The sequence below is a fragment of the Homo sapiens genome, chromosome 12 (assembly GCF_000001405.40).
Source record: "Homo sapiens chromosome 12, GRCh38.p14 Primary Assembly".
Lineage (NCBI taxonomy): Eukaryota > Metazoa > Chordata > Mammalia > Primates > Hominidae > Homo > Homo sapiens.
The window spans coordinates 113,136,774-113,160,480 of record NC_000012.12 but is presented as its reverse complement, the minus strand read 5'-3'; the positions used below and the strand labels follow the sequence as shown (position 1 = coordinate 113,160,480).

Here is a 23,707-nt window from a genome sequence, read left to right as displayed (position 1 = left end):
GGCCACACATGACCTGGGAGGCAAGGTGACTGCGAATACCCATTTTACAGGCCAGGAAACAGGTGCCTTATGAGGGCTATGACTGAACCTGGGTCACCCAGCTGCCCAAGGCTCCCACCTGGAGTCTTCCCTGGGGAGAGGGGAGTTTGGGACCATGTCTTGGGTCTCTCTCAGATGGCCTTAGCCCCTGCTTGTGTCCCTCCACCTCCTGGGGCTGGTCACTGCCTCCCCTGGGTGTCTCTGTGAGCCTGCGTGCATTTGCCTGGGCCTGTTCTCTGTGGCTCCTCCCTCTCCAGCTCTCCCATCTGTGGGAGTGTCTCCTTGTCAGCATGGCTGGGTGGGGACCACCCACACCTCACTTCTCAGCCTGTTTTTACCTAGGTGAAACAGCAGCTTCTGCTGCGAGCATTGCCGTGCAGTGGGCGTGCAGGGGCTGGGGAGACGGGGGCGACCTGTGGGCTTTGGGAAAAAGCAGCTGTTCTTCCTTTGCTGTCCTCATTGGAGGTGATAGGTCCTGCGAGGCACCCTGGCTCCATTGGAGACAGCTGGGACCACCTTAATGGTCATCCCTCTAGGAGCCCTGGGGAGGCTGCTGTTATGAATGGGGAAGAGGAGGAGGAGGACACAGGGCTTAGTGGGAGCCAGGGAGGGTGGTGCTTGCCTCCCGGAGAACTAGAAGAATGGACTACCTGATGCCCACCTGTGGGGCTGGGGCAGGGTCGCTGACCTCTGCTGCTGCTGCTGCTTTGCTGTGTGATCTCAGATAAGTCCCTCTCCCTCTCTGGCCTTCTTTGATTCCTCTCCCACCTAAAGGAAGGTTCATCTACACTCTTTTTTCATCTAACAAGCCTAGAGCATGGTGTCCATGGAGACAGAGGCTGAGGTCTGTATCGGTTACTATGGGGGGCCTCAGAGCCTGGCGTGCCGTAGGTGTGCTGTGGAGACATACACTCCTTGGTTGGAGAATTTTTAATAGTAACAGTCATGCCCAAAAGGCTCCCACTATGGGACAGGCCTTGAAATTCTGACCACTTTACACCATGGAAATGCATTTACTCTTCACCCATGAGGGAGGTGCTGTGATTTATAATTCATAGATGGGGAAACTGAGGCACAGAGCCGTTAACTTCTTGCCCACGGTCCAAGAGGTCACAGCTGGGATTTGAACCCCAGCGGTTCTGGCCCCGTGTTATTGACCACTCCATGAGGCTGCCTAAAACTTTATTAGCCACCTACTGTGTACAGACACTGGGCCACAGCAATAAGCACAGAACAGGAGTAGGGGCAGGGGAGGAGTCTGCAAGCTTCTGGGAGGAGGGGATCTTGGGAGTGATCCCAACAGCTGAGCTCCCTGAATCCCTGTCCCAGCAGGTGCATCCCGGCCCCACGCCCCAGGCACCCCTGCAGGCCGAGTCCGCCCGGAACTCAAGACCAAGCAGCAGATCCTGAAGCAGCGGCGCCGGGCCCAGAAGCTGCACTTCCTGCAGCGTGGTGGCCTCAAGCAGCTCTCTGCCCGCAACCGCCGCCGCGTCCAGGAGCTGCAGCAGGGCGCCTTCGGCCGGGGTGCCCGCTCCAAGAAGGGCAAGATGCGGAAGAGGATGTGAGGACCAGGACCCAGCCCCGTGGCTCCTTGATTGGCCTTAGGGTGGGCATCAGCAGACGTTCCCGTGCACCACTGTGTGCCTGGCCCTGTGCTGGGCACTGGGGGCACTCCCTGCAGGAGCCATCATCTGTGAAAAGGAGCACTGTATGGCCACAGAAGGGCAGCAGCTGCGTCAGCCTAAGACAGAGACATTTGAACAGGGCCTTGAAGGGTGTGCAGGAGTTCGCCAGCAAAGCCAGGCAGGCCAAGACTTGAGTTGGCAACTCAGCTGCTGCTGCTTCCATGTGTTCTGGGTTCAGAGGTCATGGCTGCACCGGTCAGAGCCCTGAGTGCCTCAGGGTTTGGCAATGGAATTTTTAATGTAATAAATCTTTATTGAGCACTGCTGGTGGCCAGGAGTGCGGTCTACTTGGGGAACTGGAATGGAGAGACCCAGGTACTAAAATCCCAGCTAACGTGGCAGAGGAGTTGCGGGTCTCCTGAGGGTGAGTTCTGCTGCCTTGTCCATTTAGCGATGAGGAAAGTGAAGCTCAGAGCACAAACCAGGTGCCAGAGGCGGGAGTTGGTCCCCCTTCCTCCCACTGGACATGGTTGCAGCTGGGAGTGGGCTGGGGGAGGGGAACAGGATGCCCAGCCCAGGGGGCAAGGACACAGCTGCTCCCCTCTGGCTATGAAGAGGTTAACGCGGCCCCTCCACACCTGGAGGTCAGAACCTGGCCTGTCCTCTGTCTTCTTGCCACCCACCCCCTGTTTGAGGTTCTGAGAAGGTCAAGGGCAGCCCCAGCAGCTGGATTCTCAGGCTGGGCCCCTCACCTGGCAGAGTCCATAGTGGAGGGGGCCTTGGTGATCTCTCATCTAGCATGGACCCTGTTCTGAGACCTGACAAAGAGTTTTTTTTCATGCCCCAACCACCCTGGCAGGGAGGGCCTGGTCTGATCTCATTTTAGAGGCAGTTGCCCCACACATAGCCCCTTGACCTTCCCATCACCTCCTCATCAGGGCCTGCATTTATGGAGTGCTTGCTATGTGCCCCTCATGGCAGGCCCACAGCACTCTGAACAGGCACAGCCCTCCCATCTTCCCAATGAGGAAACGGATTCAGGAAGAGCCACTCAGTCCACACCCCATTGGAAATGTGGGCCCTCCTATCTCAGGGTCTCTCAGGGGTTCCCTCTCCCGCTGCTCACCTGTGTCAGGGCTAGGAGGCAGGGGCTGCAGGCTCAGCCTGACCCAGGCCGGCCAGCATGGCAGAGAGGTCCTGCATGAACAGCTTCACCTGGGGGGGCCCAGCACGAAGTCACATCCCAGCCCCAGAGTCACTGTCCAGCCCCCACCCCTCAACACGCGGGGGAGGCCGAAAGGTAGGGCGGGGACTGGAGATCCCCTCATTAAAAGAACAGTGATGATGGTGGTTCCCAGAGGTGGTGACTGAGATCCTAAACCGTTCTGGGTTTTGAAAGCCTCAGGCCAACCTTCCCAACTGCTGCGTGAGCAGACACCTTCACAGCTTCCTCGCTGCTGTCACCTGCACTATCCAATTAGTATTTTCATTTACATCAATCAGCTTTATTTTCTTGTAACTGGATCAGTCATATTCATTGGTTTGTGACCTACTCTTATCTCCGTGGGTGGCTCTCCTTTTGTTTTAATTAACTTCTTTATGAATATGAACTTAATAAATACCATGGATCCATTGTAAAAACTAGAACTTGAGGGTGAACTTACAACCATCTGTGGGCTCCCCCTCATATTCATCACCGTATCAACAGCTGAGAAGGAAACTTTTTATCTCCACCAAAAATGGAAAAAAATAGTTACCCCTTGTCATAACTAGGGGGCAACTGGAAAAATAATGCAATGAACAAATGAAGCTGTTACTGAATTCTGGCAGCCGCAGGACAGTGTGAGTCCCAGGCCCGGAGGCCAGGGAGTGTTAGGGGAGGTGGGAAAAGGCATCATGTCCCTCCGTGGAGCCTTTCTCCTTGACGGGCAGAGAGTTGATTTTGAAAAGAGATGGTCTGGTCCTAGTGCAGTGGTGTTTACAACGAATTAATTACAACCGGTTACAGATTTTGTTTCTTCTTAATTTCCACTACTCCAGTTGGACTAAAAGAAAAGGCACTGACTTTTGCCTGTTTACATCAAGCCTGTGTTTCTGCTAGTCTCATGTGCCACAAGGTAACAGGCCAGGCTTGGAAGAACAGTGGCATCGATGCATCCAACCAACTAGGAGGGGCGAAGCGGATTCCCAGGACCCAGATCTTGGCATTCGGTTGGAATCCTGGCCATTGGGCAGAACAGGAATGGGAATCGGTTGGGGAAAAGGTGGGATGCCTCCCTTTGTAGCAGGACGAGCCGCAGACAAAACTCCTCAGACACCGGATTAACACAAAACTCCTCAGACACCGGATTAAAGAAGGAAGAGTTTTTTATTCGGCTGGGAGCATTGGCAGACTCGTGTCTTAAGAGCCGAGCTCCCGGCCGAATAAAAACCTCTTCCTTCTTTAATCCGGTGTCTGAGGAGTTTTGTCTGTGGCTCATCCTGCTACACCTTTACTTTTCCTCCAGTTCTCAAAGGGGCCATGCTTTGGGTATACCCACTAGAAACAAAAGAAGTGTTTGAAGTCTGAAATCTTCCTCCATTGTAAACCTATGTCACGCTGGGTGTGGTGGCTCACACTTGTAATCCTAGCACTTTGGGAGGCTGAGGCGGGAGGATAACTTGAGGTTGGGATTTCGAGACCAGCCTGGCCAACCTGGTGAAACCCTAGCTCTACTAAAAATACAAAATTAGCCGGGTGTCGTGGTGTGTGCCTGTAATCCCAACTACTCGAGAGGCTGAGGCAGGAGAATCGCCAGGAGGCAGAGGTTGCAGTGAGCCGAGATCGTGTCACTGCACTCCAGCCTAGGTGACAGAACTAGACTCTGTCTCAAAAAAAAAAAAAAAAGCCTATGGCACATTCTACACCACACAACTCAGCCTAACCCCACCCTCACCCTCCCTGCGGAAGCTGAGGCCTCTCTGTGCAGGAAGCAGGGAGACAGAGGGCCAGAGATTAATGAAGAGCGAGTCTGGACCTCATGATTTTTTACAGGTGTTGACACGTGTGGGCTGTTGGATCCTGTGAGAAAAGAGGGACTCAGCACAAACCCTGGCCTTCCTGGTAGAGGGAGGGCATTGAGACCAGCCACTTTTTTTTTCTTTTTGAGATAGAGTCTAGCTTTGTCGCAGAGAGGGGCATGGCTTTCTTCTGGCCACTGTCAGAGCCAAGATGCACCCAGGAATCCATCCTAGACCGGGTGCCTGCCCGACAATCGAGCCACGGCTGGGGCAAGGGCTCTGACCGTAGAGGGCCATGCTTAACCCAGAGAAGGTGTCACTAACTGTGGGGTTTTAGGCTCATTTTTCCAAAGAGGGAGTGTTTGGGGGCTGGAGGTGCCATAAAGAGGGGTCCTCACGTGCTCTAGCTGTCCCTCCGTGTCCTCGATGTCCAGGGTGGGAGGCTGCCCCTGATGCTGGCACACTAGCTGGAACAGGTTGAGCACAGCCATCCTGCTGCGTCCCAGGAGCAGAGTCTTCTCCGCTGCTGTGTTCTGAATCTGAATCCACTTGGATTCCTGGAGAACACCCGCCCCACTCCCAATTATGGCAACTGGGCCAAGGCGGGCTGCCCCCTCTTCCCAGCCACTTTTTTTTTTTTTCTTTTTGAGATGGAGTCTAGCTTTGTCGCCCAGGCTGGAGTGCAGTGGCCTGATCTCAGCTCACTGCAACCGCCGGCTCCCAGAGCCTAGCGATTCTCCTCCTTCAGCCTCCCGAGTAGCTGGGAGTACAGGCGCCCGCCAGTGGACCTGGCTAATTTTTGTATTTTTAGTAGAGACAGGGTTTCACCATGTTGGCCAGGCTGGTCTCGAACTCATGACCTGAGGTGATCCGCCCCTTTCGGCCTCCCAAAGTGTTGGGATTACAGGCATGAGCCACCGCGCCCGGCATTCTTCCCATCCACCTCTGCCAGTCAGGCAGTCAGGTGCTCTCGGGAGTGGGGTGCAGGAGCCTTGTGCAGGCGGATGGGGCGGGGCCTCATGCCCGAAACGGCTCGGTGATGCCTGAGATTCCCCTCCTTAGTGCAGCGGACCCTCTGGGGTAAGCATTGCCCCATCGGTCCTCATCAGCCCTGGCGTTCCTCCCCGCCCGGCTGTGGAAGCCTGGGGTCCGGAGCGCCCCCCACCTAGGGCGGGTCGTACCCACTGCAGCGTACGCTCCCTGGCAGCCTCCAGGCGCTCCTGCAGCTGTGCCCGCCGCTGGCCCTGTGCGAGCACCTCGTCCGGCCAGGCGTCCCGCAGCTGCTGCAGCCGCGCTCGCGCCGCCTCCAGCTCCGCGAGCTGCTCGCGCTCCCTGAGCCTCAGCGCCGCCTGCGTCTCGGCCAGGCCGTCGAAGCGCGCCACCAGCTCCGGAACCTCTTGGAACTAGAGTCGGGGGCGGGGAAGGGACTCACATGGGCCTGCAGTGCCTTACCCTCTCCATCCCACCTGGCCGCCAGCGTTCCTTATTATTGGAATAATCTTTCTGGAAAGTGACTTAAATGTCAACCTCCATTTGTTAGAGACAAGGTCTCGCTCTGTCACCTGGGCTGGAGTGCAGTGGCGCGATCATAGCTCACTGTCATCTTGAACTCCTGGGCTCAAGCGATCCTCCCATCTCCGCTCCAAAGTAGCTGGGACTATAGTCACACGCCACCACGCCCGACTAATTTTTTGTAGAGACAGGTGTCACTCTATGTTACCCAGACTGGTCTCGAACTCCTGGCTTCAAGCAATCCTCCCGCCTTGGCCCCCCAAAGTGTTGGGATTACAGGCGTGAGCCACCGCGCCCGGCCAGAGTTAGCTTTCTGAATCTTCAGTTCTCCTATCTGTAAAATGGGGTGGACAGTTGACAATAACAGGACTTACTTCACTGGACTTTGGGGAGGATTCAAGAACAAAGCGTGGGCGGTGGCTCACACCTGTAATCCCAGCACTTTGGGAGCGGAGGTGGCAGGATCGCTTGAGCCCAGGAGTTCGAAACCAGCCTGGGCAACATAGAGAAACCACCGTCTCTACTAAAAATAATAATTTAAAAAAATAGCTAGGCGTGGTGGCGTGCGCCTGTGGTCCCAGCTACTTGGGAGGCAGAGGCAGGAGGATCCCTTGAGCCCAGGAAGTCGAGGCTGCAGTGAGCCGTGATCGCGCCAATGCACTCCAGCCTGGTGACAAAGCGAGACACTGTCTCAAAAAACCTCCAAAACTAACAACCACAAAAACCAAAGCGTATCCCTTGCTTACAGTGAGCGCTCCATAAGTGATAGTTCTCGGCATGCATGCCAAGATCTCCAGTAGTTCAGCGAACCAGTAGTTCGCCGGTCCGAAGCCGTCCCTGAGCCACTCAGCGCCACGCGGTGGCGCCGAGCTCCCAGCCTCCTGCCCCGGACTCACCCCGGGCAGCAGCTCCAGCGCTTGCTCCAGCAGGCGCGCGCAGGGCTCCAGGCGCTTAAGCCGGCGCTGCAGCCGCGCGTGTTCCCGCCGTAGCTCCTGGAGCTGGGTCCACAGACGCAGCGCCTCCACCTCCCGACGGCCCGCCTGGTGCCTCTCCTCCGCCGCCCTCCGCAGCGCGCGATTGCGCCGGGCCTCGGAGTCCTGGGGAGTACGGTGGGGAGAAGACGACCTTCAGGACTCAGGAGCTGGCGGGGAGTTCGGCACCTCCATCCTGCCCTGACATTCGCTCGCAAAACCAGGGGCGGCCAGCAGGCCTGGCTCGGAAGCTGGCTCTTCACCCAACTCCCCCGCCCGCTTTTTTTTTTTTTAATCGGTTGCTTCAGGCAGTGCGTGTGTGTTTCCCGCCGTTTCCTTTTGCATGACGAAAACCACTTCTTTTATTTTTGTTACCTGCCGGGCCCCTATAGGAGTGTGGGCTGCTACCCATAGGCCCCGCCTCCCCCCCAGGAGGCTCCACCTACCTGCAAAAACTTGTCAAAGCGGATGAACGATCCCTTTAGCTCCCGCTCCTTTTGTTCCAGCTGTTCCCAACGCTGTTTCAGGGCTGCCGTCTTGGTGCGGAACACCTGGGGGTGAGGAGTGGGTTGTCTGTGTGGGTTCGGGGGTCCGGGTCCTCCCATGCTGTCAGGTTCACACCTAACCCCTTCCACCTGTTGTCCCTGATCTGTGGCTGCTCCCTGCTCAACCCATCCGGGGCTCCCATCACCCAGGGATGAAGCCCAAACACCCTCCTCCAGCCCTCGAATGCCAGTGTCCCTGCCCTTCCTTCAGGCCTCATCTTACCCTCTGCCCTCCCATATTCTGTCTTCCAGCCACTCAACCACCTGTGTTTGGTTCTTGCCTTCCAACCAGTCTTTGTGTATGGTTTTCCTCTGCCTGTTTTTCCTTCCTCATCTGTTTCACCTTTGCTGGATAAGCCGACTTGCCCTTCAGCAATCCCCAAGACATCACTTCCTCCAGGAAGCCCTCCTTGACCACCCCCATGGGGAGGTAGGGACTTCTGGGCTTCCACAGCCCCTGCCCAGTGCTTCTTCCCTGTAGCAGTCACCACCTGAACACTTATCTGTTTTCCTCTCTAGACTGTGAGCCCCACAAGGCCAGGGACTATCGTAAGACCTCCAGGGCTTAATGCAGTGCCCAGCACATGCTCAATGCACACAAATTTATTTGCACCAACAACTGGTCTCATTTGATCCCCATTTGACGATGAGGAAATCAAGGCTTGGAGTGGTGAAATGACTTGTCTCAGACCTTGTCACTAATAAATTGGCTCCATCACTTCCCATCCACCAGCTCACCACCTCGTTACAGTAGTGGGGGCTCACCTCCTTCTGGGCCTGCAGGGCCTGGTCTGCATCTACCAGCTCTTGCCTCTTCTCCAGGAGACGCAGTACTGGTGGGACATGATCCTCAGCCTGCTCTGGCAGCTTTCTGAAGAGGCTCAAGTAGGAGGTGGGGGTGAAGGAAGCATGTTTCAGGGCCCCACATCTCACCACTGTGTCTGGAGTGCCCCATTAGCCACCTGCTGGCTGTTTAATTTTTTTTTTTTTTTTTTGAGACTTGTTTTTGGGTCTTGCTTTGTCACCCAGGCTGGAGTGCAGTGGTCTAATCATCATAGCTCACTCCTGGGCTTAAGCGATCCTCCCATCTTGTCTCTTGAGTAGCTGGGACTGCAGGCATGTGCCACCACACCCGGCTAATTTTTATTTTTTTATTTTTGTAAAGATGAGGTCTTGTTTTATTGCCCAGGCTGGTCTTGAACTCGTGGACTCAAGCAATCCTCCTGCCTCAGCCTCCCAAAGTGTTGGGATTACAGGCATAAGCCACCACATCTGGTTGAATTATTATTATTATTATATAGTTTTTGAGATGGAGTCTTGCTCTGTCATTCAGGTTGGAGTGCAGTGGCACGATCTTGGCTCACTGCAACCTCCCGCCTTCCAGGTTCAAGCAGTTCTCCTGCCTCAGCCTCCCAAGTAGCTGGGATTACAGGTGCACGCCACCATGCCCAGCTAATTTCTGTATTTTTAGTAGAGACAGGGTTTCACCATGTTGGCTAGGCTGGTCTCGAAATCCTGACCTCATGTGATCTACCCACCTTGGCATCCCAAAGTGCCGGGATTACAGGTGTGAGCCACCGCACCTGGTTGAATTCTTTATTCATTGAACAAATTGTCCTGAGCACCTACTCTGGGCCAGGCACCCTTGTAGGCACTGGGGGTGCAGCTGTAAACAGGACAGACAAAAATCCCTGTTCCCTCGTGAACTTGCATTGTTCTGGGAGCCACAGAAAATCAAGCTAATAAATAATAATAATAATAATAATAAAGAATGCCAGGACATGGTAGGCACTGAGATGAAAAATTAAGTGGACTAAAGGAATCTTTCAACACAGAGGAGGTGGCATCTGAGCAGAGACCTGGAGGAGAAGAGGGAGCAAGCCACGTGGACATCTCCAGGGAACAGATTCTAGGACCCTGGTGTGGCTAGGGTGGCTGCAGAGGAGGGAGGGAGGAGGAAAAAGATGGGAATTGGGAGCAGGGAGGAGCTGAGAATCCAACTGCGGTGGGCCATGGTGAGTGGAGACTTTGGCCTTGACTCTAAGTGAAGTGGGAGCGGAGGGAGTGTTTTGGGCAGAGGAGGGGCCCTTCTGGCTGCTTTGAGGAGCAAGGACAGTGGGCAGCTGCGGGAGACCAGTGGTGGGGCCACGGGATATTCCAGAGATAGTGTGGTTCTGAGCAGGGCAGCAGTGGCAGGAGGTGAGAGCAGAACTGATGGAGTGGGGAGGGGAGTGAGAAAGGGGTCAGAGGTGACCCCAGGAGCCGGAAGGATGAGGCTGCAGGAGAGCAGGTCAGGTGGGGGAGACCAGCTCCCTACTACGGCCAAGCCCGAGATGCCTGAGACCTCTGCAGGGAGAGGCCCAGGAGGCAGTGGGGTTCTGGAGTCCAGCGCCCCGGGAGAAAGGGAGAGCAGAAAGAATGACTAATGTGTAATCAGCAAGGCTTTCCCAGCCGTGGTCCAGAAGAAAACCCCCCTCCCCATTTTACAGATGCTGATACTGAGGTTGGGACTTGAGGCCATGCTGCTGAACATGAAGGAGACACAGAACAAGCTTCCTCTGTTCCTCCTGAAAATGCAGTTTTGGGGGTGGATTGGGGAGCAGGATTTCATAGAATAATTCCTTCCCAGCTTGGTTTGAATGATTTAATCTCAGCCGGATGTCAGCTAGGGGTGGGGGATCAGGAACGATCCCTGAGACCATGGTGATGCCTCGGTTTCTCTCTGATCCTCAGTTTCCTCCTCTGTGAAGTGGGGACAATAACCCCCACTATGATCTGCCCAAAGCCAGGACCCAGGAGGTGAGGAAGAAAGGATGGGCCAGCCCACGCATTCCCGCCCTCCTTCTAGCCCTCCCTCCCTCTACGTCCCACTCACGTAGACAGTTTCTCTTGCAAAGCCAGTCGGAAATATTCCTCCCAGGGCACCGCCATCCTTCTGGCAGTTGCCCCAGCTTTCTTTCCACCAGCTGGAGTTTTGCACAAGCTTAGGAGACCCTGGGGGTTCTGTGGAGCGTGGTGTGGAAGCCTGCTCAGCTCGGCCCAGAAGGCAGCCACCAGCAGGCTCTGGTTGCCTGGCAACCGACCACACAACATTCCATCGCCTAGCTGCCGCCTGGAGGGAGAGGGAGGGGCCTGCGAGGAAAGGAGCACCTCTGCCCCTCCTGGAGAGGCCTGTAACACCCCATCAAATCGGTGGTGCAATGGAGAGGATGGGGCTCCCTTGGCCAAGAAATTGCCTCTCTTAGTGCCCCACGTTTGGCCAAGCTTCTTCCTGGCTGGGTGGGATAGCCTCACTATCTGGGCCACGCTTGTGTGTACTCAGTTAATGGCTCGAAAGAATAATTACTGGGCGCGCACTGCTAGCCAGGCCCTGGGTGGAGTCATTCACTCCCAGCCCTTTGAGGCGCCACTCCCTGTCCTGGTGATGGGGCTCCTCTGGCTATTTCTCAGGGAGCCCCCAGCCTGGTTAGGGAAAGGGAGACCATCAGGACCTCCTAGTGGAGACCAGCTTAGAAGGGATGGTCTGGACTTGGGGGATGGGGTGATGGGAGAAGCTGAGAGTTCGGGCATTTATTTATTTGACATGGAGTTTCGCTCTGTCACCCAGGCTGGAGTGCAGAGGCTCGATCTCGGCTCACTGCAACCTCTGCCTCCCAGGTTCAAGCGATTCTCGTGCCTCAGCCTCCCGAGTAGCTGGGATTACAGGTGAACTCCACCAGGCCTGGCTAATTTTTGTATTTTTATTAGAGATGGGCTTTCACCATGTTGGTCAGGCTGGTCTTGAAATCCTGACCTCAAGTGAGCCACCTGCCTTGGCCTCCCAAAGTGCTGGGATTACAGGCGTGAGCCACCACACCTGGCCAATAGTTTGGGCTTTACTGTGGGTTAGATGCTATGCTCAGCACTCTATAGTATCTAAATTAATCCCTAAGACAGCCCTGTGGGGGGTGGATGGTACTAGGGAAAAGTACCAAGAGTAATATAAAAAGTACCCTTGGGTTCTTCAATTCAAAGCAACAAACACTAGCATCTTGTCCTCCCTGCTTCCGGTCATTTTATTTTCCATTTTAAATAATTTATTTTCCATTCAAAGAAATGTATTTTCTTAATGTAGAGCAATGCTGTTTCAAAAACCTATAGTTCCTTGTAATCCTACATTGCTTAAAAAACTCCTAAGGATTTCGTTAGAGCATGTTTTAAAAAACAGAACTAGGGCCGGGTGCGGTGGCTGATGCCTGTAATCTCAGCACTCTGGGAGGCCAAGGTGGGAGGCTTGTTTGAGCCCAGGAGTTCCAGCCCAGCCTGTGTAACACAGAGAGACCCCATCTCTACAAAAAATAATAAGATTAGCTGGGGATAGTGGCATGTGTCTATAGTTCCAGCTACTCGGGAAGCTGAGGCAGGAGGATCACTTGAGCCCAGGAGGTTGAGGTTGCAGTGAGCTATGATCACTCCACTGCACTCCAGCGTGGGCAACAGAGCAAGACCCTGTCTCAATCAATCAATCAATCAATATCTAAGAAATTAAAAAGAACTAAAATAATGTACATTTTACCTTTGAGCATTTTTAAAAATTAAATTGGACATGCTGTCTTTCTGCACAAATTGATGTGAAGTTACAATAAGATATGATCTCATTTTTTCATTCTTTTTTTTTTGAGATGGAGTCTTGCTCTGTGACCTAGGCTGGAGTGCAGTGGCACGATCTCCTCTCACTGCAACCTCTGCCTCCTGGGTTCAAGCGAGTCTCCTGCCTCAGCCTCTGGAGTAGCTGAGATTGAAGGCGCGCGCCACCGCATCTGGCTAGTTTTTTGTATTTTTAGTAGAGATGGGTTTTTGCCATGTTGGCCAGGCTGGTCATGAACTCCTGACTTCAGGCGATCTGCCCGCCTCAGCCTCCCAAAGTCCTGGGATTACAGGCGTGAGCCACCTTGCCTGGCTTCATTTTTTTCTTAATTTTTTAAAAGATAAAGGTATCTTTTACAAAAAGTAAAAGTCACTTTTTCCATATACCATTCTATGGATTTTGGCAAATGCATAAAGTCATGTAATCACCACCACAATCAACATACAAAACATTTCCATCACCCCAAAAAGCCCTTGTGCCCCTTTATAATCAACCCTTCCCTCCACACCAGCCTCTGGCAACTTCTACATATTCTTTGTCCTTCGAGTTTTACCTTTTGCAGGATATCATACATGAAATCACGGTATACACTTTGTAGCCCTTTGAGTCTGTCTTCTTTCACTTAGTAATATTCATTTGAGATTCATTCATATTGATATGTGTATCAGTAGCTCATTCTTTTTCATTGCCGGGTACATTATATTATGAATACTATAGTTTGTTGATTCATTCCCCAGATGAAAGACAGGTGAGTTGCTTCCAGTTCTGGGCACTTGCAAATACAGGCTGTATTCATGTGCAGGTTTTTGTGCAAACATAAGTTTTCATTTCACTTGTGTAAATATGTCAGAGTGGTATTGCTGTGTCGTATGGTAAGTGTATGTTTAACTGTATAAAAAACTGCAAGCTGTTATTCAAGGTGGCTGTACTATTTTTATATTCACACTAGCAATGTACAAGAGTTCTAGTTGCTCCATTAGGAGAGTTCTAGTTGCTCCATATCCTCACCAGCAGTTGGTATTGTCAGTTTTTTAAAAAGTCATTTTATGGCCGGGTGTGGTGGCTCATGCCTGTATTCCCAGCACTTTGGGAGGCTGAAGCAGGTGGATCACCTGAGGTCACCAAGACCAGCCTGAGCAACATGGTGAAACCCAGTTTCTACTAAAAATACAAAAATCAGCTGGGCATGGGGGCATGTGCCTGTAATCCCAGCTACTCAGGAGGCTGAGGCAGGAGAATCGCTTGAACCTGGGAGGCAGAGGTTGCAGTGAGCTGAGATTGCACCACTGCACTCCAGCCTGGGTGATAAGAGTGAGACTCTGTCTCAAAAAAAAAAAAAGGTCATTTTAATAGTTGTATTGTAGTATAGATTATGGTTTAATTTTTTTTTTTTTTTTTTGAGACAAGGTCTGGCTCTACCACAAGGCTGGAATGCAGTGGCATGATCTTGGCTCACTGCAACCTCTACCTCCCAGACTCAAGCCATCCTCCCACCTCAGCCTCCCAAGAAACTGGGACCTCAGTCAGGTGCCACCACACCCAGCTAATTTTTGTATTTTTTGTAGGTGGGGTTTCACCATGTTGTCCAGGCTGGTCTTGAACTTGTGTGCTCAAGCTATCCGCCTGCCTCTGCCTCCCAAACTGCTGAGATTATAGGCGTTAGCCACCACACCCGGCCTAGATTACATTTTAATTTTTGAGATAACTGTAGATTTACATGCAGTTTAAGGACCAATACAGAGAGATCCCATATCCCTTCCACCCAGTTTTCTCCAGTGGTAACATCTTGCGTAACTATAGTACAATATCACAATCAGAAAGTTGGCATTGATACAACCCACTGAACTCACTCAGATTTCACCATTCTAACATGCATTCATGGGTATGTGTGTGTGTGTGTATATTTAGTTCTATGCAGCCTTGCCTCAGGTATATTTATGTGACAACCACTATAGTCAAAATACAGAACAGTTCATCACAAGGTTCACTTAGAGGCATACTGGTCTCCTGCTTCTCCCCTCCCTAAGCCCTGACAACCATTCCTCTGTTCTTCATCTGTATAATTTTGACATGTCAAGGATGTTAGAGAAATGGAATTGGCCAGCCACGGTGGCCACGCCTGTAATTCCAACACTTTGAGAGGCCGAGGCAGGAGGATCGTTTGACTCCAGGAGTTTGACACTAGCCTGGGCAACATGATGCAATCCTGTCTCTACAAAAAAATACAAAAGTTATCCAGGCGTGGTGGCGCATGCCTGTAGTCTCAGCTACTCGGTAGGTTGAAGTGGGAGGATCACTTGATCCTGGGAGACAGAGTCTGCAGTGAGCCATGATCCCGCCAGTGCACTCTAGCCTGTGTGACAGAGCAAGACCCTGTCTCAAAAGGAAGGAGGGGGAGGGGGGAGCAGGGGTGGGGGAAGGGAGGGGAGGGGAGAGAAAGGGAATCTTTCAGTATGTAACCTTCTGAGATTGGCTTTTTTCACTACGCGTAATTCTCTTGAGATCCATCCTGGTTGTTGTATGTATCGATAGTTTGTTCCTTTGGATTGCTGAGCAGCATGCCATGGTATGGGTGTACCACAGTTTGTTTAACCATTCAGGCTGAAGGACATTTGGGTCATTTCCAGTTTTTAAGAATAAAGCTATTAAGAGTAAAGCTGGGTCAGGTGCAGTGGCTCATGCCTGTAATCTTGGCACTTTGGTAGGCTGAAGCAGGAGGATCTCTTGAACCCAGGAGTTCAAAGTCAGTCTGGATAACATAGAGAGACCCTGTCTCTACAAAAAAAAAAAAGAAAAGAAAAATCAGCTGGGTTTGGTGGCACAGGCCTGTGGTCCTAGCTACTTGGGAGACTGAGGCAGGAGCCTGTGAGGTCAAGGCTGCAGTGAGCTGTGATCACATCACTGCACTGCAGCCTGGGCGACAGAGTGAGACCATGTCTCCAAAATATATACATACATATATAAAATATATATACATATAAATAAATTATATATATAAAGAATATATATATATGCCATGAAGATTCATGTGCTACTTTTTGTGTGAGCCTATGCCTTTATTTCTTTGGGATAAATGCCCAAGAGTGAAATTGTTGGGCTGTATGGTAAGTGACATTTCGTTTTTAAAGAAGCTGCCAGCCGGTCATGGTGGCTCACGCTGTTCTCCCAGCCACCCAGGCTGCAACAGAGTGAGCTGAGCACTTCTCCCAGCACTTTGGGAGGCTGAGGCGGACAGATCACCTAAGGTCAGGAGGAGTTCGAGGCCAGCCTGGCCAACATGGTGAAACTCCATCTCTACTAAAAATACAAAAATTAACCTGGTATGGTGGTGCACACCTGCAATCCCAGCTACTCTACTTGGGAGACTGAGGCAGAAGAATTGCTTGAATCCAGGAGGCAGAAGTTGCAGTGAGCTGAGATCGCACCACTGCACTCCAGCCTGGGGGACAGAGTGAGACTCCATCTCAAAAAAAAAAAAATTAAATTAAAAAATTTAAAAAAACCTCTCATATTCTTTTGCATAGGGGCTGCACATTTTACATTTCCACCAGCAAAAAATGAATGATCCAGTGTCTCTGTATCTTTGCTGTGATCACTATTTTTTTATTTCAGCCATTCTGATAGGCATGTAGTGATAGCACATTGTGTTTTTATTTTGCATTTCTTTAAAGGCTAATGAAGTTGAACATCTTTTCATGTGCTTGTTTGCCATCTGTATATCCTCCTCAGTAAAATATATGTTCAGTTCAGTGAAACGCCTCTTGCCTATGTCTTAACTGGATTGTTTTTAACTGTAGAGTTTTATTTATTTATTTATTTATTTATTTTAGAGCCAGAGTCTCACTCTGTCGCCCAGGCTAAAGGGCTTAAGCAATCCTCCCACCTCAGCCTTCTCAGTAGCTGTGACTACAGGTGTGCACCACCGTGCTAGGCTAAGTTTAAAAAATTTTTTTGTAGAGATGGGGTCTTACTACATTGCCCAGGCTGGTCCTGATCTCCTGGCCTCAGGAGAGCCTCCTACCTCGGCCTCCTCCTACCTCGGTCCCCCAGAGTGTTGGGATTACAGGCATTAGAGATGGGGTTTCACCATGTTGGCCAGACTGCTCTCAAACTCCTGACCTCAGGTGATCCGCCTGCCTTGGCCTCCAAAAGTGCTGGGATTACAGGCATGAGCCACCGTGTGCGGCCGTAATTATTAAAATTTCTTGTAGAGATGAGGTCTTGCTATGTTGCTTAGGCTGGTCTCAAACTCCTGGGCTCAAGTGATTCTCCCGCCTCAGCCTCTCAAAGTGTTGAGATTACAGGCGTGAGCCACCACACCAGCAATTTCTATTCTTATTTTTATTTTTATTTTTTTTGAGACGGAGTTTCTCTCTTGTTGCCCAGGCCGGAGTGCAATGGCACAATCTTGGCTCACCGCAACCTCCACCTCCCAGGTTCAAGTGATTCTCCTGTCTCAGCCTCCCGAGTAGCTGGGATTACAGGCATGTGCCACCACGCCCGGCTAATTTTTTGTATTTTTAGTAGAGAGGGGGTTTCTTCATGTTGGTCAGGCTGGTCTCAAACTCCCAACCTCAGGTAATCCACCCATCTCAGCCTCCCAAAGTGTTGGGATGATAGGCATGAGCCACCGCACCCAGCCATTATGTTCTTTTAGAAGTGGTTTTTGCAAATATTTATTGAGCATCTTACCCTATGCCAGACACTGTGCTCAATGCTAAGGATATAGCAGGGGACAAGACAAAACCTGACTTCCCGGGCTTACAGGCCAGTGGAGAAGTCAGAGCAATCAAATCACCCTACAGATATGTGATGGGTTAGGAGGAGAGGCCTAGAGAGCATGCACAGGGGCAGGGAGGCCTCCTTGAGGAAGGGATAAGCCCAGGAGGTTGCAGTGAGCCGAGATCATGCCACTGCACTCCAGGCTGGGTGACAGAGAGAGACTCCATCTCAAAAAAAAAAATCATTCAACTTCCCTCTCCTGGAGCTGCTCATGGCTTAAGGAAGGGAAGAAAGTCCTTGCACAAACCACTTCTCTTAGAAGGCTGGGGCTGTGGCTTCAGCTCTGCAGCCAGCTAATACCCTTGCCTACCCAGGCCTCAGCATTCCTCTCTGTTCAATGGGGTGCTGTTCCCAAGCCCTCCCGCCATGCTTCGGGGTGGGAGTCCCAGTGTCTTGCCAGCTCAGCCTCCTTCATGCCTCTGCCCCTACCTCCTGGAGGGTGGGGACGCTGAGTGACAGCAGGACACAGCTCAGCCGGCCTTGCCCTTGGCTGAAAACCTACAAGCTCTGGAAATATCCCCCAACCCGCCCATCTCACGCTTCCGTGCCTTCCCCATTTCTACTTCTCCATTCCAAGGTGGGGTGCGGGGAGAACTCTGGGGAGTGGGGCTGAGGCAGGAGGAAGTGGGGGTGCCGACTGAAAGACAGACACCTTGTTTTCAGGCCCTGGGAGGAGGGAACCTCGGCAGCCAGCCCGCAGGAGGGGGTTTGGGAATTCCTGCCCACTCCTGCCACCGCTGCCTCCTGTCCCACGTGGCTCCCTGCCCAGAATCGTGCCCAGCAATCACAAACAGGGCTTTGTGTTCCTGAGACAAAGAACAACCCATCACCCCAGCCTAGGCCAGGGCCCGTGTCTGCTTTGCCCTGGTCTTGGCCTCAGAATGGAAGGTGCCACTCCCCAGGAGGGGACACAGGCCTCCTGGTTTGAAGGTGTAGGTACACTGGGCAGGTGGTAAATTGGCAATGACGAAGCTGCCCTCCTAGGCACTGTAGGGAGGGAGGAAGTAAAAAATAATGTGACTGTTATCACATGAAGAGAGGCCGGGTTCCAGCCCTCCAGGGGAACTGAATTCTGTTTAGCCCGGTGTGCGTGTCGTGAGTCTTTCTTATGTGCCTAGCTGTGTGGGAGGCTCAACATGAATCAGACACTGTCCCTGACATTTAGAAGGTAAGAGAAGCATGTAAATTGCCACGAAATAAGGGAACAAGAGACCAAGGTCACACAGCGGTGCCTCTGGGGCCTGGGGTTGGGGGAGCATCTCTGCCTCCCCACTCCTCTGTAAGGGCTTCTCAGAGACTGTGGAAATACAAATAAAGGACAACTATTCCATTTATTTATGTATGGAGACGGGGTCTCACTACATTGCCCAGGCTGGTCTCAAACTCCTGGGCTCAAGAGATCTTCCTGCCTTAGCCTCTGGAGTAGCTGAGGCTACAGGTGTGTGCCACCACACCCAACGAATTTTTTATTTTTATTTTTTGTAGAGACAGGGTCTTGCTATGTTGCCCAGGCTGGTCTCAAACTCCTGGGCTCAAGCAATCCTCCTGCCTCAGCCTCACAAAGTGCTGGGATTAGAGGTGAGAGCCACTCACCTGTACTTGGGGCCGTGGGAGAGGCCACAAGTCTGGAGAGATCAGGGGTCTGGAAGCAGCCACCCCCTCTTGCCACATGGCCTGTGGAGCACATGGCTTGGGACAGTGGTTCCTTTAGAAGCCGGAGGGACCACGAATCCTTTTCTGATGATAAAAGAAGCACATGGGGTTGGGTGTGGTGGCTCACGCCTGTAACCCCAGCACTTTGGGAGGCCGAAGCAGGAGGGTCACCTGGGGTCAGGAGTTCAAGACCACCCTGGCCAACATGGTGAAACCCCGTCTCTACTAAAAATACAAAAATTACAATTTGGGAAGCCGAGGAGGGTGGATCACGGGGTCAGGAGATCGAGACCATCCTGGCTAACACGGTGAAACCCTGTCTCTACTAAAAATACAAAAAATTAGCCAAGCGTGGCAGTGGGCGCCTGTAGTCCCAGCTACTCAGGAGGTTGAGGCAGGAGTATGGCATGAACCCAGGAGTTGGAGGTTGCAGTGAGCCGAGATCCCGCCACTGCACTCCAGCCTGGGCGACAGAGCGAGACTCGGTCTCAAAAAAAAAAAACAAACAAACAAACCGAAACCAAAAACAAAAATTAGCCAGGTGTGTTGGCGGACCCCTGTAATCCCAGCTACTTGGGAGGCTGAGTCAGGAGAATTGCTTGAACCCAGGAGGCAGAGGCTGCAGTGAGCCGAGATTGCCCCACTGCACTCTGGCCTGGGCGACAGAGTGAAAGTCTGTCTCAACAACAACAAAAACAACAACACAAAAAATTAGCTGGGCGTGGTGGCACATGCCTATAATCCTAGCTACTTGGAAGGCTGAGGTGGGAGGATCACTTGAACCTGGAAGGCAGAGGTGCCACTCCACCTCCCTGTGAGCCAAGATCACTCCAGCCACCCAGGCTGCAACAGAGTGAGCCGAGATCGTGCCACTGCACTTTAGCCTGGGTGACAGAGCAAGGCTTCACCTCAAAAAAAAAAAAAAAAAAAAAAAAGTACATGCTATTTTGTGTAAGGAATCCCTCCAGCTCCAGCTGTACCCCCATGTCTGCTCCATCATCCTCGCATCGTTCTTTACTCTCTGGGAGTTTATTATTGAGCTGTGTTACTTTTGTCTGCTTTCCTATTTTACTGAGAGCCCCAGGAGAGCAGCGCGGGGCCATCTTATCCTTCACTTGAACCTCGCTATATCCCTACCATCTAGTACATTGTAGGTGCTCAATACACGTTTATTCAACAAAAGATCTTATATATTCATACACAGAATATTCTATGGCCTCAGACTCATACTGTGTATATGGTTGTATATACCTTTTCCTCACCATTTATGCTTTTTTAGTATTTTCTTGTCATTAAATCTTCCTTGAGAACATTTTTGAAAGAGCCATGCAGTATTCATTTACACTGATGCCTGTGCTTTACTTCCCCCCACCACCATCTCTTATAATCTTTATTAACCTATTGGGAGGACTTTTACTTATTTATTTATTTGTTTTTGAGAAAGTCTCGCTCTGTCACCCAGGCTGGAGTGCATTGGTGCAATCTCGGCTCACTGAAACCTATGTCTCCAAGGTTCAAGTAATTCTTGTGCCTTAGCCTTCCAAGTAGCTGGGATTACAGGCACATGCCACCACGCCTGGCTAATTTTTATATTTTTAGTAGAGACGGGGTTTCGCCATGTTGCCCAGGCTAGTCTCTGACTCCTGAGCTCAAGTGATCTGTCCCTCTCGGCCTCCCAAAATGCTGGGATTACAGGTGTGAGCCACCATGCCCAGCCTTATTTACTTATTTAATTAAAAAGAATTCTATAATAGAGATGAGGCCTCACTATGCTGCCCAGGCTGATCTCAAACTCCTGAGCTCAAGTGATCCTCCTGCCTCGGCCTCCCAAAATGCTAGGTTTACAGGTGTGAGCCACCACACCCAGCCTATTTATTTATTTTTAAGATACGGTGTCTTGCTATGTTGCCCAGGCTGGAGTGCAGTGATGCTATCATAGCTTACTGCAGCCTTGAACTCCTGGGCTCAAGCCATCCTCCTGCCTCAGCCTCCTGAGTAGCTGGGACTACAGGTGCAAGCCATCATACCTGGTTAATTTTAAAATTTTCTGTAGCAACGAGGTCTTGCTATGTTGCTCAGGCTGGTCTCAAACTCCTTGCCTCAGCGATCCTCCCACCTTGGCCTCCCAAAGTGTTGGGATTACAGGGGTAAGCCACCATGTCTGGCCCTGTAAAGGCCTTCTTGAGGGAAATGACTGATCGAGCAAAGGCAGTGTGTGTTGGGGGAGCAGATTGGGAGGATACGAGAAAAGTCTTAAGGGTGTTGAATTCAGGAACGGTGTCTAGAGAGCTATGTGACTGGGGATTCCTGTGCCCAGTAGTGTATTGGTAAACTGACTCTCAAAAACAAATGTAGCATTTGCCAGTTTCCATACTGTAAATCCTACCCTAGTCAATTTCAAGTTCCCATGTGATGTGGCTAAACATGGAGTTGGAAAGTTATGTGCACAGTCGAATCCAGTGCCGATGGGAGCGGGCTCCAGGACGCCCCCACCATGCCCAGGCCCGATTCCTCTTCTGGGATGAGGAGCCCTCTCTCCTCCATGCCTGTGAGCCCTCCCTGGGCCACAGGCCCAGCATCTCAGATCAAGTGGAGACTCAGCCAGTCCTGGTCAGAGGGCTCAGCATCTCAGATCAAGCAAAGACTCAGCCTGTCCTGGACAGAGGGCCCACAGGGGAGGCCGGAGCCCTGATCTTGGAAGCTGTCTATCAGATTTCTCAGCCAGGATGAAAATCCTCAGATTCCCCCAGCTCAGCGATCTGGAACTGCCCTGGCTACTGAAGTGTGGGCCTTCATCCATGTCTGGAATCTGGGGCTGGGCCTGCATTCTACCTGGGCAATGTCCCCAGGACCCAGCCTCAGAGCTAAGCCACCAAATGGGGCTCAGTATCAGGCACAGGACGTCCCACAATGGCCATGACATTTATTGAGTGCTTGTAGTATGCCAGGCTGTGCTAAACACCTGGCACTTATTTCTTTTCCAGCCTCATGCTCATCCTAGAGGTGGATTCTATTAGTATCCCCACTTTACAGATGAAGAAACTGAGGCACTGAGAGAGTAACTCACTTGCCCAAGAACACTTGGCTTGGAAGTACAGGTGCCAGGGTTCAATCCTAGGTCAGCCTGATGCTAAACCCTCTTCTGGTAAACCCTGAGCTCAGCATTTCTTCCCACTTAAGTCTTTATGAAACACCTGCTGTGTGTATCGCATGGGTATTGCAAGAGATGGTTATGAATTTACCTTTAAGGAGCTTGGGGTTGGGGTTTGGCCATTTCTTGAGCACCTACTATGTGCCAGGAATGATGCTAAGTGCCTTACGCTGCCCTCGAGATTAACTCTCATAATAACCCTGGGAGAATCACCAGCCTGCCCTCTCCCTGCCTAGCTGGATGGTCCCGCGCAGGTCACACACTCTCTCTGGTCTGCCTTTTCCGCTTCGGTCCCTTGGCATGGACTGCCCTAGGCAACCTCCAACTCCCTGCTAGTTTCAGGTCAGAGATTCTCAGAACAACAGGAAATGGCCGGGCCATGTGCAAAGTTTGGGGACTGTGGCCATTGCCCCAGGCAAATTTTGGGGTCACCCTCCAGATATTGGACAGGTAACAGCGCTGGCTTGCTGGAGGCCCAGCTGGCACAGTCTATATCCTTGGTATTTCCCCGTGGGGAGCTGGGGAAGGGTGTTTGGGTATATGACTTCCTGCTTAGCTCTGGAAGATGGGCCAAGATGGCTGCGTGGCAGTTTGGCTGGCATCCCATGGGGGCTGGAGGAACAGGCCCCTTAGGTTCCATCATCAGGGGGTTCCAAAAGGGGTCCTGGGGGTCTGGAGGCCTGTCTGCGGTCTTTGCAGGCTCACAGAAGAAAAAGGCTCAAACAGTAGCTTCCACTAAATGTGTGTGGTGGGGGGCGGTGTGGGGCGGGGGGCAGGATTCCCGTCTTAAAGCTTCAGTTACATAGCAAATACCTTAAGTACCATTCCCCCCACCACCTTAGGTGGTATATTTTCTTTGGAGAGAATCTGGGGTAACTGATAAAGATCACAGTGGGCCAGGCATGGTGGCTCACGCCTATAATCCCAGCACTTTGGGAGGCTGAGGTGGGTGGATTGCTTGAGATCAGGAGTTCAAGACCAGCCTGGCCAACATGGTGATATAAAAATACAAACTATAAAAATCTACTAAAAATACAAAAATTAACCGGGCATAGTAGTGGGTGCCTGTAGTCCCAGCTACTCAGGAGGCTGAAGCAGGAGAATCACTTGAACCCAGGAGTGGAAGTTGCAGTGAGCCAAGATCGAGCCCTGCCCTCCAGCTGGGCAAAAAAAAAAAAAAAAATCACAGTGGGATGACTCCTTTGGGGCTATTACTGTTCTGGATCTAACCCTGGATTACCCCTCATGCCCCGCTGAGGATGTTGCAATACTTCTAAGCCTTGGAGCCTGTTCTGCTAGGTCCATTTCCCAGATGGGATTAACTGAGACCCCATCTCTGGTGGGTCAGAGACTCACCAGGCAGCCACCAGCTGGGGAAGGAATTCCAGGGCTCTGAGTTCCTCATCAGCCTGTCTGGGTTGCTGGGTGGGGAGTCAAGAAGGGAGACTGGGAAGCAGACCATTGGGCTGCTGACGGATCCAGGAAGGGCACTCCTGGTCTCACCGGTCTGGGCGTTGGCTCCCGCACTCAGTCTGCAGGGGCACTCCCATTGGTGCCTGGCCTTTCTAAGAGGTCTTGGGCAGGTCAACAATGAATTCACAGGGAGAAATAAGTGTGCGAACGGATCTGTTCTGGGACAGGCCCTGCCTGTCATATTATCTCATTTAAAATCAGAAAAATGTACAAACCTGGAGCCACTGGAGCAGAGAGAAAGGAAAGAAAATCTCTACCGGAGTGGAAGGGCATCCTGGAAGCCTTCCCAGGAGAGGTGACGCGTGGCCCACGCCTCAAAGGACAACAAT

At 51.8% G+C, this 23,707-nt stretch overlaps 2 protein-coding genes and 1 non-coding gene across 5 annotated transcripts in view, besides 2 other annotated features; 2 read left to right on the top strand and 1 right to left on the bottom strand.

Moving 5' to 3' along the window:
* Nucleotides 1-3,308, top strand: part of DDX54 (DEAD-box helicase 54) — a 28,306-nt gene extending 24,998 nt beyond the window's left edge. Inside the window, exon 20 of one of the 2 annotated variants that reach the window (NM_024072.4) lies at nucleotides 1,372-3,308. In NM_024072.4, coding sequence (NP_076977.3) covers nucleotides 1,372-1,604 — 233 coding nt within the window. In that variant the 3' untranslated portion in view covers nucleotides 1,605-3,308. Of the gene's footprint in view, nucleotides 1-1,368 lie in introns of both variants that reach the window. The other variant, NM_001111322.2, reaches the window with a different exon arrangement.
* On the bottom strand, nucleotides 1,205-10,757 carry CFAP73 (cilia and flagella associated protein 73). Of its 2 annotated transcripts, NM_001144872.3 has the most exons (8): nucleotides 10,568-10,757; nucleotides 8,458-8,563; nucleotides 7,594-7,698; nucleotides 7,073-7,273; nucleotides 5,846-6,067; nucleotides 5,063-5,221; nucleotides 2,791-2,879; nucleotides 1,205-1,780 (listed from the first exon to the last, which is right to left on the bottom strand). In NM_001144872.3, the coding sequence occupies exons 1-7, from the start codon at nucleotides 10,621-10,623 to the stop codon at nucleotides 2,802-2,804; spliced, it is 927 nt and encodes a 308-aa protein (NP_001138344.1). In that variant the 5' UTR covers nucleotides 10,624-10,757; the 3' UTR covers nucleotides 1,205-1,780; nucleotides 2,791-2,801. The 2 variants fall into 2 exon arrangements, with proteins under 2 accessions (NP_001138344.1, XP_011536629.2); XM_011538327.3 differs by lacking the exon at nucleotides 1,205-1,780 and having other exon boundaries at nucleotides 1,957-3,884.
* Nucleotides 1,304-1,368, top strand: MIR7106 (microRNA 7106). The gene has a single exon (NR_106956.1). It is a non-coding gene; the product is annotated as a microRNA 7106 (primary transcript).
* Nucleotides 4,611-4,811: a silencer, noted in NCBI's record as "peak1971 fragment used in MPRA reporter construct". NCBI's record gives its function as "represses an SCP1 promoter by STARR-seq MPRAs in K562 erythroleukemia cells {active_cell/tissue: K562}" and the evidence as "EXISTENCE:reporter gene assay evidence [ECO:0000049][PMID:32103011]".
* Nucleotides 5,178-5,677: an enhancer, noted in NCBI's record as "H3K4me1 hESC enhancer chr12:113592609-113593108 (GRCh37/hg19 assembly coordinates)". NCBI's record gives its function as "activates a minimal SCP1, AML or CMV promoter by ChIP-STARR-seq in naive H9 embryonic stem cells {active_cell/tissue: H9 hESC(naive)}" and the evidence as "EXISTENCE:reporter gene assay evidence [ECO:0000049][PMID:30033119]".

Bases quoted from the DNA above. Each gene is read 5' to 3' on its own strand.
- CFAP73 (XM_011538327.3), bottom strand. From the start codon at position 10,623: ATGGCGGTGCCCTGGGAGGAATATTTCCGACTGGCTTTGCAAGAGAAA. The intron at 7,699-8,457 runs GTGAGCCCCCAC...CCTCACCCCCAG, and splicing joins CCCTGCAGGCCCAGAAGGAG to GTGTTCCGCACCAAGACGGC. The intron at 3,885-5,062 runs GTGAGGACCCCT...CCCAATGGCCAG, and splicing joins CGGAGGGACAGCTAGAGCAC to GATTCCAACCGAATGCCAAG.